Source organism: Homo sapiens, chromosome 16, assembly GCF_000001405.40.
Source record: "Homo sapiens chromosome 16, GRCh38.p14 Primary Assembly".
Classification (NCBI taxonomy): domain Eukaryota; kingdom Metazoa; phylum Chordata; class Mammalia; order Primates; family Hominidae; genus Homo; species Homo sapiens.
The window spans coordinates 10,059,586-10,076,478 of record NC_000016.10 but is presented as its reverse complement, the minus strand read 5'-3'; the positions used below and the strand labels follow the sequence as shown (position 1 = coordinate 10,076,478).

The 16,893-nt window shown below is 43.4% G+C and overlaps 1 protein-coding gene across 7 annotated transcripts in view; it reads left to right on the top strand.

Moving 5' to 3' along the window:
* Positions 1 to 16,893, top strand: part of GRIN2A (glutamate ionotropic receptor NMDA type subunit 2A) — a 429,505-nt gene that overhangs the window by 106,430 nt on the left and 306,182 nt on the right. The gene's annotated exons all lie outside the window — the stretch shown is intronic.

Below are 16,893 nucleotides of genomic sequence, written 5' to 3'. Positions count from 1 at the left end.
CTTGCCTGGTAAGAGTTCATGGCAGACCCTAACCCTGCTGAGCTCTTGTTTTAGCTTTTAGGTCCCCACCGTCGCCACTCTGGATACAAACTTGGCATTGTGGCTAGGGGTTTTGTGGGATGGATGCAGCAGTTGTTGCCTCGTCAACATTCTCCTGTGGATGGTTTTTGGGTCAAGGCCCACTGGATCCTGTTGTGAGTTAATTTGCAAAGCTTAGCTGTACCTAATGCAGGAAAGAGGGTAAACAAACACAAGCAGCAGGACAGACTTTGCACCAGTGACTCAGAGGAAGGCCTATGGGGATGGGATCCTCAACCCACTTTGCTTCCTGATGTCCCAGGTGCTGGGCTGGGAGAATGGTCTGGTTAGCCCTATGTCCGATCCTAAGGAACATTCACATTTTGCCATGCTTTTTACAGGTAGCACAATGGGCGCATTTTTCACTCTTGCAGATGGGTCTCGGAATGAACTTCCTTGCATTGAAAAAGGGAGTGGTTTGGATTTTCTCACTGTCTAGAAGCATAGTGGCTAAGGGAATTTCTGGAGTCCCTCTGTCTGGGTTCAGAGCCCAGAGTTATAAACACTAGTTGTAGGATTTTATTTTTTAATTTTTAATTTTTTAGCATATTAATTATATTTAATTCTCTATTTTGGATATTTAGAGCAGCTAGAGGCATTATTTTAGATATTGACGAGATGAATGTCCTTCTAACACTTGTCTGATTATTTTCTTATGAGAAATTCCTAGTACAGAATGTGTTAGTCAAAGGGCTTATTTTTAAGACTTTGATATGTGTCATCAAGGTGCCCTGTAGGGTGACTGTCCTGGATGACACTCATTTTGATGGACTGGTTCCTTTTTATTGTGGTAGAATATATATAACCTAAAATTTACTATTCTAACCATTTTTAAGTTCAGTGGCGTTAAGTACATTCACATTGTTGTGCAATCATCATCAGTATCCATCTCCAGAACTTTTCCATCGTTCCAAATCGAGTCTCTGTACTTACTTGCAATCACTCTCCATTCCGCCCCGCTGCTTGGTCCCTGGTAACTACTATTCTACTTTCTGTCTCTATAAATTTGCCTATTTTAGGTATCCCATATAAGTAGAGGCATACAAATTTATCTTTTTGTGATACGGGACTTTAGACAAGTCACGTCATTTCTCTAGGGCTCAGTTTCCTAATCTGATTTAGTATGACTGTGAAACTCTCAAACTCAGGATGAAAGGGAAGGAGGGAGGAGGACCTTTAAGTGATCAACCAAAATTTACTAGGTGCTGACTACGCGCCAGGTACTGGATACCATTATATTCCCCGACATGCAGATGAGGAAACTGCATAGGAGAGGACCCATGCAAAGTCCCAGCAAGTTCAGGGCTGAGATTTTAACCCATGTGGCCTGGCGTCAGAACCACATTCTCAATGCCTACACTGGGCTGTCCTTTGATAATAATGGAAACTCCTTCATTGGAGGATTCTTTGAAGGATTGAGCCAGAAATTTTATCTATGTATAATAGCACTTAGGCCAGCAAGGAGAAATTGGTCAATAAGTGATACCTAGTCTTACGTTTAAATGTTTTTGAGATATAATTCACATAAAATTTATCATGTTAAAGTTCACAGTCCAATGCTTTTTAGTATATTGACTATATTGTGCAACCATCACCACTCCCTAATTCTAGAACAGTTCCAAAACCACAAAAAGAAACCTCATATTTTTAGCCGTCACTCTGTCTCCCTTTGTCCCCAGCCCTAGAAACCATGGATCTACTTTTTGTCTCTATGGATTTGCCTATTCTGGAAATTTCATGTAAATGGAATTGTATAATACATGGCCTTTTGCGTCTGGTTTCCTTCACTTAGCATAATGTCTTCAATGCCCATCCATGTTGTAGAAGGTATCAGTACTTCATTCCTTTTTATGGGTGTATAACATTCCATTGAATGGCCATATCATATCTTGTTTATCCCTTCATTGATTGTAGGATGTTTAGATTGTTTCCAGTTTTTGGCTGCTATCAGTAATGCTGCTATGAACACTTACATACAAGTTATTGTTTGAACATCTGTTTTCAGTTCTCTTGGGTATATACATACCTAGAAATGGAATTGCTGGATCATATAGGAGTTCTATGTGTAGCTTTTTGAAGAACTGTCGTACTGTTTTCCATAGCAGCTGTACCATTTTACATTCTCACAATCAGTGTACGGGGTTTCTTATTTCTCCACATCCTGGTCAACATTTGTTATTTCCATTCTTCTGAATTTAGCCATCCTGGTGAGTGTGAAGTGCTATCTGATTGTGATTTTGATTTGCATTTCTCTAATCACTGTTTGTATTGAGCATATTTTTATGTGCTTAGTGGCTGTTTGTATGCCATCTTGTAAGAAATGTCTATTGAGACCCTTTGCCTTTTTTAAAAACGGAGTCGCCTTTCTATTGTTGAGTTGTGAGTGTTCTCTATGTACCCTGGATACTAGACTTTTATGAGATATATAATTTGCAAATATTTTCTGTGTGTCGTGTTTTCACTTCGTTTTTTTTTTTTTTGTGACGGGGGTCTCACTCTGTCACACAGATTGGAGTGCAGTGGCACGATCTCAGCTCACTCACTGCAACCTCCGCCTCCCAGGCTCAAGTGATTCTCCTGCCTCAGCCTCCTGAGTAGCTGGGATTACAGGCACGTGCTACTGTTGCCCGGCTAATTTTTTTTTTTTTTCTGGATTTTTAGTAGAGATGCGGTTTCACCATGTTGGCCAGGCTGGTCGTATTTTCACTTCTTAATAGTGCCCTTTGATGAATAAAAGTTTTTAATTTTGACAAAGGGTGAAGGATGTCTAATATTTTGTCTATGATCCATTTTTCACCTCTAGGCCCACTTTTTTGACCCTCACACATCACGGTAGATTAGGAATTTCTTAATGCTGTACTGGTTTTGGAGGTAAGGAAGATGGGACTAGCCCACTTTGCTTTGTCAGGCTGAGAGGGAAGAAGTGATTCCATTGAGCCAGGACTTCAGTGGCCAAAACTACCTCCCCTGGCTTCAGAATCCCTTCCCCAGACCAACCCTGCGTGATATCAGCATGTGGTAAAACACTCCTGTGTCTTTAGAGACTGCAGTCTATAAATGATTTTTCTGTCTTCCATGGGCCTTGCCTGCAAGCACTTTCCATCTTTCCCTAGGTTTCAGGAATGCTCAAGAATTACGGGATCTTGACTGGGCACGGTGGCTCACACCTGTAATCCCAGCATTTTGGTAGGCCAAGGCAAGTGAATCATTTGAGGTCAGGAGTTTGAGACCAGCTTGGCCAACATGGTGAAACCCCATCTCTACTAACAATACAAAAACTAGCCAGACGTGGCGGTGGGTGCCTGTAATCCCAGCTACTTGGGAGGCTGAGGGAGGGGAATCTCTTGAACTAGGGAGGAGGAGGTTGCAGTAAGCCGAGCTTGGGCCACTGTACTCCAGCCTGGGCCTGGGCAACGAAAAGAGACTCTGTCTCAAAAAAAAAAAAAAAAAAAAAGGGGGTCTTGTCACTGAGTTTCCTCATCTTGCCTCTGCCTCTGAGCACATTTTTCCTTCTGCTTCTCCACCATAATGAAAACCAGCCATAGGCTTTGACTACTCTCTATTCTCTAGTGTCCCAAACTTCAGTGAGCACAGACAATCACCCAGATAACTTGTTAAATATGTGGATTCCTGGGATATTCCCCAGAAATACTGAATCTAAATTTAGGGATAGAGCCTAGGATGCACATGTTTAAGCAGATTCCCAGGTGATTCTGATGTCAGGGGGTCCACAGACCACGTCTTTAGAGGCACTGCCTTATTCTAGAAGCCTACCCACCCAAACTTATTCTGAGATCCCAAGAGAGGCTAAGTCCAGTGGTTCTCAAACTTGACTGCATACTATAATCACCTAGGAGAACTTTACAACTTCCCTCCATCCTAGGGCACAGTGCAGACAAATCAAAACAGAAACTCAGGGCATGGGACCCCAGCTTCAGTAGTTTTTAAAGCTCCTTGGGTACTTCCAAATTGCAGCCAAAGCTGAGAGGCATCGGAGCCATAAAATTGTAGGTACTTGTTTCTCTTTGCTAAGTCCTTTAACCCACACAGGTCAGCTGGATTTGGAAGTTGATGCTTCACTCTTATAAACACATTTCAACTTGTTGTTTATTCTCATGCTGCAAATGGAAGGTACAGAATTGCAAGGGATGGAATGTGCACGTACCTCCAATTTCCCTACCAGCAGGGAATGCAACAGCCTCATGATGCTTAACCACAAAGGGCATCACTTGAGACATCTTTGCTCACTCTCACGATGGTGAAAGATTGTCCTGGGCTCATTGAAGGAGCTATGGATGTTTCCAAGTCCCCAGATAGAGGTATCATCACTTTCTGATCATGAACCTATGGTACCAAGGTCATTCTGGTGAAGAATCTTTTATGTAGTGGCCAAGAGTGTGGGCTTTGGAATCAGGCTGCCTGGTTTGAATTTTAGCTCTATCACTTAGGTGGGCAACCTACCCACCTTTCTGTGCCTCCATTTCCTTCTCTGTGAAATGGAGATAAACAAAAGTACTGTACCTATAGGGTTGTCTTAAAAATTAAACAAGATGATGCATATAAACAATTTAACCCCTGCCTGGTGTCGGCTCCCGTCCACTTCTCCTCTTGGGTTGCCTTTCAAGAAGTGATAGTGGCAGGCAGGGCTGGTGCTTGGGACCATACTGGTGATAGAAGCAGCAGCCAGGTACTGTGCCCAAAATGCTCTCAAGAGTACAGGCTCAGTACATCCCTTTCATTTACCACCTGAGCCCTGTCTGGTGAGACTCATCATTTGTCCTCTATACAATGCCTTCCCAAACTCCACTCCAATCCCTTTCTATAGGCACAGCTTTTGTTAACAAGGTATAGCTTCATCCTGGGGGCATAATGCACTTGAAGTTTTTCTCAATACAGTGTTATTAGGGTGAAGAAGGGACTTACATAATCAGGACAACCAGAAGAGATACATGCCCAAATTCTTAACAAGATTCATGGCTCGTCCCGTAAGACTCCTTGACTCTATTATTGCAGTTTTAAGAGTACAGACTCTTTGTGGTTTTCCCCTTACTTCAACTGGATCTGTCAGTAATTCCAATTACTGACAATGACACATTCTTCTAGAACCAATAAGCTTCCTACATTGCATTTCTGCTAATAGAATGTTCCGAATATTTCCAGGTATATGTGTCTGCATGATTCTACCTTTATAAAGCCTCTAACTAGAAATCCCAAATTTCCATGCAACAGTATTCAACATTCAGCCATGTGCTAGGCATGGTTCTTTTATGTAGGTATTACTTAAGCTGGTTTATCAATTTTAACACACTAGATTTCCCCTTCTGATCAATACTGCCTATCGGATGGCATGAGGAGAGTTTTGGAGAAATGGTAGTCATTACTCTGGTGAGGGCATGGACTTTCCATGCTCTCAGGTGACCAAGGCACTCCAAGAGTTGTTGGGTTAATCTGACTGCTCTCTCAACAAAGAGAAATAGGGAGAGGAGGAGAGGAAAAGAGGAAAGTAGGCTTCTTAGAGGGCAAAGTACCCATGAGAAAAGCAGACAAAGGAAAGAGGGTACTTGGAACATGTCTTCTCTATAAGCGGTCCAGATGGTCTGCGTGTGAGGCAGTCTGCAGAACTGGCTAATCCAACCGCTGAACAATTCATAGCCAGTTTGCAAAACCTGAAAAAGGCAGCCCAGAGGTCCACACAGGAGTAGAGGGGGAAGAAGGGCCTGCTAAAAACTTATCATCTGGAAAATCTGATGATGAGAGGAGTGCTCAGAGAATACGAAGGGAAACCTTATAAATATCTCAGTGTCACTAGGATCTCGGGCTTCAAGCAGCCCTTGAAGTTTAAGAACAAATCATCCCAGGCCACGCTGGTAGCATTTTTTTTTAACTGTAATTACAAATAACTGACATATGGCAATGTTGTAGATGGCTGGCTTCTGAGCTGTGGACCAGTGATTCTCAAACTTTAACACGCATGCACAAATCACCTGGGATTTGGTTAAAATGCAGATTCCAGTTCAGCAAGTCTGGGCTGGAGCCTGAGACTCTGCACTTCTAAGAAGCTCCTGGGAGATGCTGATGCTGCTGGCCCATGGACCCCACTGTGAGTAGCGAGGCTAGAGGCGTGCTTGGTAAACAAAGTCAGGAGGCCTAAATGGAGGTGCTTCGAGGTGGTGCAGGAGCACCTGGGGCACCTAGAAAACATTGCTGGCATCTCGGGGACCCATGTCCAGGGAAGGGCTCCAGGACTTCCCCGAGTTGAGGATGAAGACTCAGACTTCCTGGCTACCACTCAGGTAGAGAAGAGCAGACGTTGCCACTGAAGTCCCAGGTATGAATGAATTCTAGAGCTGCTGGAGTGGGGAACATTGTCATTGAGCTTAGAGAAACAGAAGTAGGAGGGAGGGGTGGATAGGCAAGAGGGAACCCACAGGTACTGAGCATTTCTTGATTGTCTTCCTCTTGCTCCCCACCCTTAACTGTTCCTTCCCAGGTCTTTCTCTCTTTAGTAATTGCACTCACCATCCACCTAACTGCCTAAGCCCAAGACGTGGGATCTATCCTTCACTGCATTGGGAAAGGTGGTCATGCACAGCTTGCTGGACCCTGTATGGCTGTATGAGTGGCCTTGGGCCTGAAACATTTCCTTAACAAGAGATGAAGAGCCCTCCCAGCCTGGGCTGGGCATATCTCTTTGCCTGGAAATATCTTTCCCTGTTCTGGGCTTGATGTACTTTGTTCTGCTCAAGTGTGTGCATCTAATGGCCCCTGGCCAAACCTGCTACTATATCTGTCCCTGGTGGAAAGGGATCTGGGTCCTTCTACTGCAGCACGAGGTGGGTGTGTGCAGCTGCACTGCCTGGGTTGACTGCAGAGCAGATCCACTGGCTGTGGGGGACTGACGCATTGCAAGGGACTGCATCTTGTGTAGTCTGTCTCCTCTTGCTCTACCACTTGAGCCTGGTGTGTGTGTTGTCTGTTCTCAGCAACCTCAAATCGTGTGATGGTCTCTTCCCTGGATGACACTTAGCCTTTTAACCTTGGCTGCCCAGCCTGACCACCCAGTGAATGGTGGAACATTCTCTTTCTCTCATCCCCACCAGAGTCTAGTGCAATGTATAATTATTCTCCTTCAAATGTATATCTCAGATCCTTCCTCATCTCCAGTGCTACCACCATCATCACCATCTGGAGCTGTAGATGAAGCAGCCTCCACTGGTCTCCCTGCTTCTACCTCTACTCCTCCCCTACTTCATCCTTTCCTTTGCAGCCAGGGTAAATTGGATCAGGTCACTTCTCTTCTGAATAGCCTTTAAGGGCTTCTCATGACATCTTGGTGGCTAGAACCTAGGTGCCTTCTCATGAACTGCGGGGTCCTTACCCACCTGTCTTATCCCTCTCCTCTTGCCACCTGCTCCCCACCACGCACCTGTGCTCTGTCAGTTGTCACCTGTGCTCTCTGTCAGTTTTGAACATACCCTGTTTTCTTTCCTTCTTAGAGTCTTTGTGTATTTGGTTCTCTCTGTCTGGAACCAGCACCAATCCCCAAAACTCTGCCATCCTTCAGGTCTCTGCTTCAATGTCGCTTCCCCAGAGACAGATTCCCTGATCACCCTAGATTGGGTGTTAGTCTCTGGCCTCTGTCCTTTACTCTCATGGCACTAACCTTAGTTTGGTTTGTACATTATCTATTATCTGCCTCTCCCAATACATTAGATGATCCATGGGGGAATTGATAAGGTTTGGATGTCTTGCCCAAATCTTACGTTGAATTGTAATCTCCAGTGTTGGAGGTGGGGCCTGGTGGGAAGTGTTTGGATCATGGAGGTGGATCCCTTGTGAATGGCTTGGGCCACACTCTTGGTACTGAGTGAACTCTTGCTCCGAGTTACTTTGAGATCTGGTCATTTAAAAGTGTATAGCACTTCCCCCCAAGACTTACTCTCTCCTGCTCTGGCCATGTGATGTGCCTGCTCCCCCTTCACCTTCCACCATGACTGTAAGCTTCCTGAGGCCTCCCCAGAAGCCAGGCAGATGCCAGTACCATGTTTCCTGTAAAGCCTGCAGAACTGTGAGCCAATTAAACGTCTTTTCTTTATAAATTACCCAGTCTGAGGTATTTCTTTATAGCAATGCAAGAACAGACTAGTACAGGGTCTCTGCCTTTCTTATCTGTTGTTGAATATCCAGCACCCAGCTCCAGGCTCAGAGTAGACACTCAATACATGTTGGTTAAAGAACTGAGTGAATTAGTAAATAAATACGCTTTGGGAAAGCAGAGGACCACAAGGAGAGCATAAAAGGGATTAGCATTCATGGAAACAGCTGCTATGTGCATTGCACATCTGCCATCTCATCTCATCTATCCCACAGATGGCTTTCAGCCATCTTGTAGCCTAGAGAGTTTAATTAACCTGCCCAAGTTCCACAGCCACTGAGTAGCAGAGCTGATCTGTACTCTGCTTCATCTTAGCCTGGAGTTGTTTTAGCTTTGGCATCATGACATTTGGGACCACATCATTCTTTGCTGTGGGGTGGAGGGGGTGGATATAATACGCATTGCAGGACATGTAGCCTCTACCCATGCCATGCTAGTAGCACCCCCTGCCCAATTTATGACAACCCTCATGCATCCAGACATTGCCAATGTCCCTTGGGGTGGGGGTGGGAATGTGTCCCCAGTATAGAACCACTGGCTTAGCCTGTGGGTAATCTCAGCCTCCCATCTGCTTCTACTCCAATCCCTGCCCACCCCACTCCTCTCAGCTGCTGTTTTTCTCCTGGACTCTTTCTCACCCTGTCTTCACGCAGTCCTCCCTGGGTGTCCCTCCGGGCATGCAACACACAGATGGCAATGTTCCGAGTGTTGCAATACACATTTGTGTTTCTGGTTACTTTAATATCAGCCCCATGTCCTGATGTTCGTGTCATTGGCATGGATGCTAACAGGCTGTCTAGAAAATGTGCAATATATTTTTTATTTTGCCTAAATAGCACATCTAATTGTTCAGCATGAGATAAACCAGTATGTTTACGGGGAGATAACTTGTCAAAACAGACTTTTGTGGCTCCACCGTTGGAAAAACCTAGCCTCCTCATTCAGAGATGGAGTGTGAATTTTTCGTGGGTATTTTATGTGGATTTAAAGCAAATTATTTCCTGCTGTTTTGTGGACAGAAAAAAATGAGGGAAAAAACGGCTTCAGAAAAAGCCCCAGATGCAAGTGTCTTTTAAAGCATAGGGGATGAAGAAAGAGAATAGAACAGAAAAGAGGAGAAAGAAACAGCAAAAAAGAGGGAATTTGCTAGAGAAAAAATGTGAGAGAGTTCACAGCTGGGGGATCCAGTTAGAGGTAGGGTGCTCTTTTTTTGCTCATTCATTTATTCATCCACTTAAAATATCGTGAGCTAGGGAGTGTGCTGGTGTAGCATGTATCCGAATGTCCTTTGTTTTTGAACGCTGGCTAATATTTAATTGTATGTATTTACATTTTGTTTACCTGTTCTTCTGTCAATGGACATTTGGGTTGTTCCCACCTTTGGCTATTGTGAATAATGCTGCTATGATGGGCTGGTCTTACATATCAGTGTTAAAGGTGACATTTCCCAAGTGCCTACTGCTGAGCTGGGCACCATGCTGGCCTCTGCACACGTGGTATCTCATTTAACCTTCTCAATCTCCTGGGAGGTTAACCCTCTGCCATGACATTTAGCAAACACTGGGAGGGGCAGCTTAAGATGCTTCAGTCACTCATCCTAAGGTCTCAGAGTGATAGATCCTGGGTGGAAACATGGGTCTCTTTGTAGGTCATCATTTTTATAATCAGAATAAGTGATTGTGAGTGAGGTCTTACTCAGTGAGGAACATGAAATAGCCCATAGTTTTGTCCCTGTTGACTTTGACGCCCTCTTGCATTTGTATGGAACTGCTATTTTGCAGCATACATCTGTCTTCAGGTACCATTTTTACTCTGCAAACATTGGTTAACCTTGAAACTCTCTGCTGCTCCTTCCTCCTCTCCTTTTATGACAGAGATAAATAAGTTGGTGATGTTTCCAGAAGGACACGATGAGACAGACAGGATTAGACTCCAGGAAGGAGCCCAGCGGCCACTTCGTGAGCTAGTGTTCAGGCAACCCTCCCCAGATGTGCAGTGTAGCAGAAGTAAAGGCCCCTGAGAGGCACAGAGAGGAAGACGCATCCCAAACTTCAAAGGCTGGCAGCCTCCCACTCCAACACCGGGGGATATGAAATTCTGCCGTGATGAAGAGCATCGTCTGCTTTCTAAAGTCTGAAGAATATTTCTAGTCAGTTCCTAAGATGTGCTGGGGGTGAGATGGACTATGGAAGTGTCAGGAGGACAGATAAATGATCTCTTAGTTGTTGGATTCATGATGTCTAAATCCATTTCCGAAAGCCCTCTCTCAAGGAACACTCTTTAAGGTATGGGTAGGTGACTTTCAGCTCTCTATTCGTAAGAGACCCATGTTTCCACCCAGTATCTATCACCCTGAGACCGTGGGAGGAATGACCAAACCATGTTAAGCGCCCCCCCTCCCAATGTTTGTCCAATGTCATGACAGAGGGTCAACCTCCCATGAAATTGAGAGGGTTATAGTCTTGGCTTGAGATGGGGTTGGAGTAAATAATGTATCCAATCCTCTTCCAGCTTAGCATTCACTTGGTGGCCAATGAGCTCTTCCATAATTATTAACACTACTGAGCACACGCTACAAGTCAAGAACTATGCTAGATGCCCTTCATCCATGCTGTCACTGAATTCTTTTAAAAACCTTATGAGGTAGGAGCTATGATTAGCCCTATTTTAGAGATAAGAAAATTGAGGTTCAATAACTTGCCTGAAGTCACACAGTGAGCAAATGACAGAGATTTAAACATGCATTAAAACAACTTTATGAAAGGATGAATTCTGAAGATCTGACCTTAGAGAGATGGGTGTAATTAACCTGAAGTTGAGAGACTCCTGTGGCATATGTATTGTGCTAGATAGAGAAAGAAAATCGTGGTTGTAACAAGGAGGCCGAAATAGAATGTCACAAGAGTAGATGCTCTGGGTTGCAGGTGCATTCTTTTGCTAACAAGTTTTTTCTCACGTGAGTAACTCCACACAGCATGCTCTTGGCTGGGTGGCAGCAGGCTACCATTTTAGTGACAGTTAATCATTTAATGATGGTTAATAATTCTCCCAACTGATGCCAGGCAGGCGAGGTACCTTAAAATAAAGTACAGAACTTACTGGCATGTATGAATGCCCAATTGCATCAGAGATTAATTTTCTGTTTGTGTTGAATGCTGTGTGGAGAGTCTATGTTATCACCAGACTTTGCTAAATTTCCCTGTAATTTTTTGCATGGTCCTGACTCTCCTCTTTCATTTATCTGCATATGGATTCTCCACGTTACGGTGTATTCTGATTTTCTTAGGTAGGTGACATTGAAAAAGTGTAACAATTGATGAGGCATGGGGATTCGTCCGTTTGGATGAATGCACTGACCGTGTGAATGCTTGCCAGCCATAAACAACCAGCTGAATATCAATCTTGCCCTGAAACAATGGAGATTTCCCCATAGTCTAGTCCATGGGATCAAACAGTAATTTGCATTTCACTGAAGCACATGGAGAAGTCAAAACAGACTATGCAAGTAAGAGTCAGAGAATAGCATGTGAAGCAAAGATTTGCACCTGGGGTTGTTAGTAGCAGGGTCTATTGAACTATGACATCTCTTGATATGTTTTAGTCACCATATTAATTTCTCTTGCCATTTCAAATAGCATTAGAGGAAAATGTGAGGTTAAAAATGTTTATCAAGGAGACCTGGATCATAAAAGCTTGAGAAACATCAATGTAGAGGCATGAACAGTAGAAACAAGCATAGGTTTGATGGAGTCGCTGGGTTAACATGGAGTGAAGCTGTCCATCTTTTTCCCGTTGATAAAGTCCTAGTTGAAAATGTTTGAGGATCTCTGGTGCAGGGCTTTGGGAATCAGGCAAGACCTCAGTCCCCAGGGAGTGAAGATGAGGTTAGACCAGTGACAACGTTGTTCTGATGCACCAAAATGGGCGAACGAAGTGAGGTGCCTGGGACGCATTTACCAGCATTCAAGTACCTGTTGATGCAGGGCCCCTGCATGTTGCTGTGGCTAGTTTTGGGGGTTGTTTGAAAAATAGAAGAGTCAGCCCCTGATTCTGAAGGAATATCTGTTCTCGTGGAAGAAACAAAACACTCACCAACAAAGTCAGTTCAATTCTATAGACATCGATTGAGAACCTACCATGGGTAAGAAAAGCTCTCTGTTTGAGAGTAACTTAAGGATCATTGAAAAATGACACATCAGTATGATTCGAATAAAGCAGAACAGAACAATCCTATTGTTCTCACCATACTGCTGAGACATAAAATCCCAGAATTCTAGAAGGGCTCTAATTAGGAAAGGCTTCCAGGAGACGGTGACTGTGGGGTCATGAATAAAGTGGCAGCTTCCTCAGGGGAGCCTGGGAAGAGGGTATTTGCTCCATTATCAGCCCGGCTTTTGGCGGTGCAAGAAATGAAGGCTACTGTACGTCTAGAAGTTTCCAATATTTTCACCACCTAGTGTTCTTTTTTATTATTTTGACTCCTATGGACACTGTTTTTAGGAGGATTTTATCTACTGATAAAAGTATATTGAAGCAGTGGTTCTGTACTAATCAAACCTACCTGTAACATGTAATTTAGATCCTCTGATTTGCTTGAGAATTATTTATTCATTCAACAAATATTCACGGGATACTAAATCAATTGGATTCAGTTTGGTGGTTTATGACAGAAAATCCAGATTATCAATGGCTTAAGTAAGAATTTTATTTCCTTCTCATGTTAAAGAAGGAGAGAATAGATTTTTGGGTGGGAGGCTTATGGTTGCTGTCATAAGCATCTACTAGAAGCCAAATACCAGGTTATGTACTAGAAATGGCTAGGCGGGGCTCATGCACAGTGATTTGCTATGATTCTAACCCATTTTTAAATTATAATTTCAACTTTTATTTTAGATCCAGTGGATACATGTGCTGGGTTGTTTCATGGGTATATTCTGTGATGCTGAGGATATGAATGGTCCCATCATCCAAGTAGTGAGCATAGTTCACAACAGGTAGTTTTTCAGCCTTGCTCTCCTCACACTTATCATCATCCCCAGTGTCTATTCCCATTTTTATATCCATGTATACCCAGTGTTTAGCTCTCACTTATAAGTGAGAACATGAAGTATTTGTTTTTCTGTTCCTGTGTTAATTTGCTTAGGATAATGTCCTCCAGCTCCATCCATGTTGCGGCAAATAACATGATTTTGTTCTTTTTTATGGCTGTGTATATTCCATGGTATATATGTGCCAAATTTTCTTTATCCAATCCACCACTGATGGGCACCTAGGTTGATTCCATGTCTTCGTTATTGTGAATAGTGCTGCAGCGAACATATGAGTGCATGTGTCTTTTTGCTAACCCAATGTTTTTCTTTTCTTCTTCTTTTTTTTTTTTTGAAACAGAGTCTTGCTCTGTCACCCAGGCTGGAGTGCAGTGGCACAATCTCTGCTCACAGCAACCTCTGCCTCCCAGGTTCAAGCAATTCTTCTACCACTGCCTCCCGAGTAGCCGGGATTATAGACATATGCCATCACACGCAACTAATTTTTGTGTTTTTAGTAGAGATGGAGTTTTGCCATGTTGGCCAGGTTGATCTCAAACTCCTGACCTCAGGTGATACACCCACCTCGGCCTCCCAAAATGTTGGGTTTACAGGGGATTACAGGTGTGAGCCACTGTGCCCGGCGTGTTAACCCAATGTTTTTCAAACTTTAGTGTGTGTCAGTCACCTGGAAAGCTTGTGAAAACAGATTTCCGAATGTTATTTCTGGAGTTTGTTTCATTAGGTCTGGAGGCAAAGAGACTGACAATTTGCATTTCTAGAAAGGTCTGGATGCTGTTGGTCTGGTGACCAGTTGAACCCAGTGACATAGGTCAGGGCATGGCCATCTACAGCCTACAGGTCAAATCCAGCTAGCTATTTTTGTACATAAATTTTTATTGGAATGCAGCCATACTTTTTTTGTTTTCTACTGTCTAGGGCTGCTTTTTACTACAACAGCAGGGGTGAGTAGTTGTAATCTGAAGTGTTTCCTATTTGACCTTTTACAGAGAAAGCTTATCAACTCCTGCCTTAGGTAGAAGTGGATACTCGCAATCCATAAAGAAGGTATGTACATCAGTGGAGAAGTCAGCAAGTACCGGACCTGGGTTTCCATCTCATCCCAGTTCAGCCATTCATTTTTTATGTGACTTTGGTCCGGCCATTACCCTATCTGATCCTCAGTTGCCTCCCCTATGTAATGGAGGCACTGAGCAAATGGTTTCAAAAATCCCTTTTAGTACTTCTCTGATTTCAGCAGAGAAGCTGACGGAATGGTTTGTTGCCATTGTACAAAGTGACAGGCTCTGGCTGAATACGTCCCATTTTGCTGCTGAGTTCGATTGGCCTTTATGTTCTGTTTATGAAGGTGTCCCCTCTGCCACTTTTGGAGGGAACTCCCTTTCTTCACTTTTGATTGATATGTGACATTTACTGGAGCTGGCATTCTTTAATTCCTACTCTCTGAGCCACTTTCCAACATGTTCTATTCATCACTGTGACTTTTTTGTTGCCTTTGCCACTACTAACCTTCTAAGAGTTCGGAAAAGAGGCACTTAGAGTTTATAATGACATATATAATATCACACCACCTCTCTCTGCCCCAGACTGACTTCACTGTGGGTTTGGGAGTCTTTTTCAGAAGCAACAAGGGAGAAAATTTTGCTTTTGATGGCACCCCATCAATCAAAGTGAGACACACAGTTGACTGTATTTAAATCAGAGTGAATGAGTGGAAATGAGTATGTAAAGGAATCTCAGGAATCTCTATTCATTGGATTTTAGTATTCGGGCAGGTGCATATATTGGTTAGGAATTGTGTTTGCCAATAAATAAGCCTGGAAATGCTAAAACAAAAGAGAAGTTTATTTCCTTCTCAGATTAAAGCAGCCTGGAGGTAGGTGGTTGAGGGTTGCCAAGGTGGCTTCATGGTGTCCTCATAGATTAAGCCTCTTCCTGTATTTCTGTTGTACTCTTAAGCACATGGTTTGCATCATTAAAGTTGCTTCATGATCCAAGATGGCTGCTGGAGCTCCAGGCATCACATTCACACTCAAAGCAGGAAACAAGAATAAGGAGGAGAAGAGCAAAAAGGGCACACTCTAGCTGTATGCCCCTTCTTCAAGAGCTCAGAAATCCTACCCCAGCATTTCAGTCTATTGTTGGTCATCTCTGATAGGGAGGAAGGCTGGGGAATAGAATATTTTACCTAGAAACATTGTTTCTGAATTAAACTGGAGTTCTAAAAAGGAAAAGGAGAACCGACATTGGGTGGGAAACCAGCAGTTTCTGCTCTGATGTCTTTCAGAATGAATACTTTGATCAATATGGTAGGAAGTTAGATTTGGGGATGGTTTTTGGCTTGCACTGTTGTGGGTGTGTTATGAATGGAAGGCCATATAGCTTGCACTCGTAAAGAGGAAACGCAGCTTTCATTAGATATCCCTGGCTTTGAATCTGCCATTTACTAGCTTTGTGACTTGGGGCAAGATATTTAACTTTTCTGAGTCTCAATTTCCTCATCTGTAAGTTGAAAATAATAATAGTAGCAAAGATGATGATAATGAAGATGGTGCTAAAAGTAATCATGACTTTCTTGCAGGAACAAATGATACATTGAAGATCAAGCACTAGGAACAGTTTTTAGCATGCAGTTAGCATTTAATGAACAGCAGATAATCCTCTTTGAAGAACAATGGATATCAGAGGAAAGACTATAAATTTTGGGTTCCTCCAGACATAGGTTTAGGTGCCAGCTTAGCCACTGGCTAGCGGAGGAACCCTAAGTAGGTTTCTGAATCTTGCTGAGCCTTAATTTTCTTATCTATAAGATAGGTCACAGTAGGGGCTAAACAGATAATGTGTGGGACAGAACTGAGGCAACATCAGAAAACGTGAAGCACAGACCCCGGCATGTGGTTCGTGCCTAGTACCTATTGATTTTCCTTCTCTTTCTAGTATAGAGGATTGGGCTGTGAGGACTTTGTTCCCGGGTCTGCTCCGGTAGCCTGATTGTTCTCAATCCTTTCTCTGACCTTTCCCTTCTCTGTTCTATATGCAAGGACATATTTTATCCAGGCTATAGGTGATTTCTCCCTCACTTCCTCTTCCTTGGGAATGTCCCCATCTAGCTCTTGATGGGCAGCCTCCAGGGTCCCAATTCCTATCAGGTGGTCCCTGCTGTGGGATTTGCTACTGCCAAGCGACCCAGCTTCTGAACTTTGGTAATGTCTCCTGCATCCCCCTTTTCCTCCATCCCTAGGATATTAATGGCTTCCTCTTTTCCTTTTCTCTCTGTGTCCCAGTGGCTCCTATGTAACCAATTTCCTGTATTATCTCTGTTGGAAACACCTGGAGTGGTTTCCGTTTCCCTGACTGGGTCTTAACTCATTCACGAATCTAAAATTGTATAAACACATAATGCCCAAACATTCTCTTCACTTACCTCTTACCTCTCACCACCCTCTAAAAATCTTGTTTGTTTTTTTTTTTTTTTTTCGGTCACGATGGTGTGATTTTATTTCTTTAGTTCCATGGCCCTTCATTAGCTACAGGAGAAAGTCAAAAGTCCTTCCTCTGTTGTTTAAGACGCTCTGTTGTCTGAGGCATGGGCTCCTTTCTAAAGTTATTATT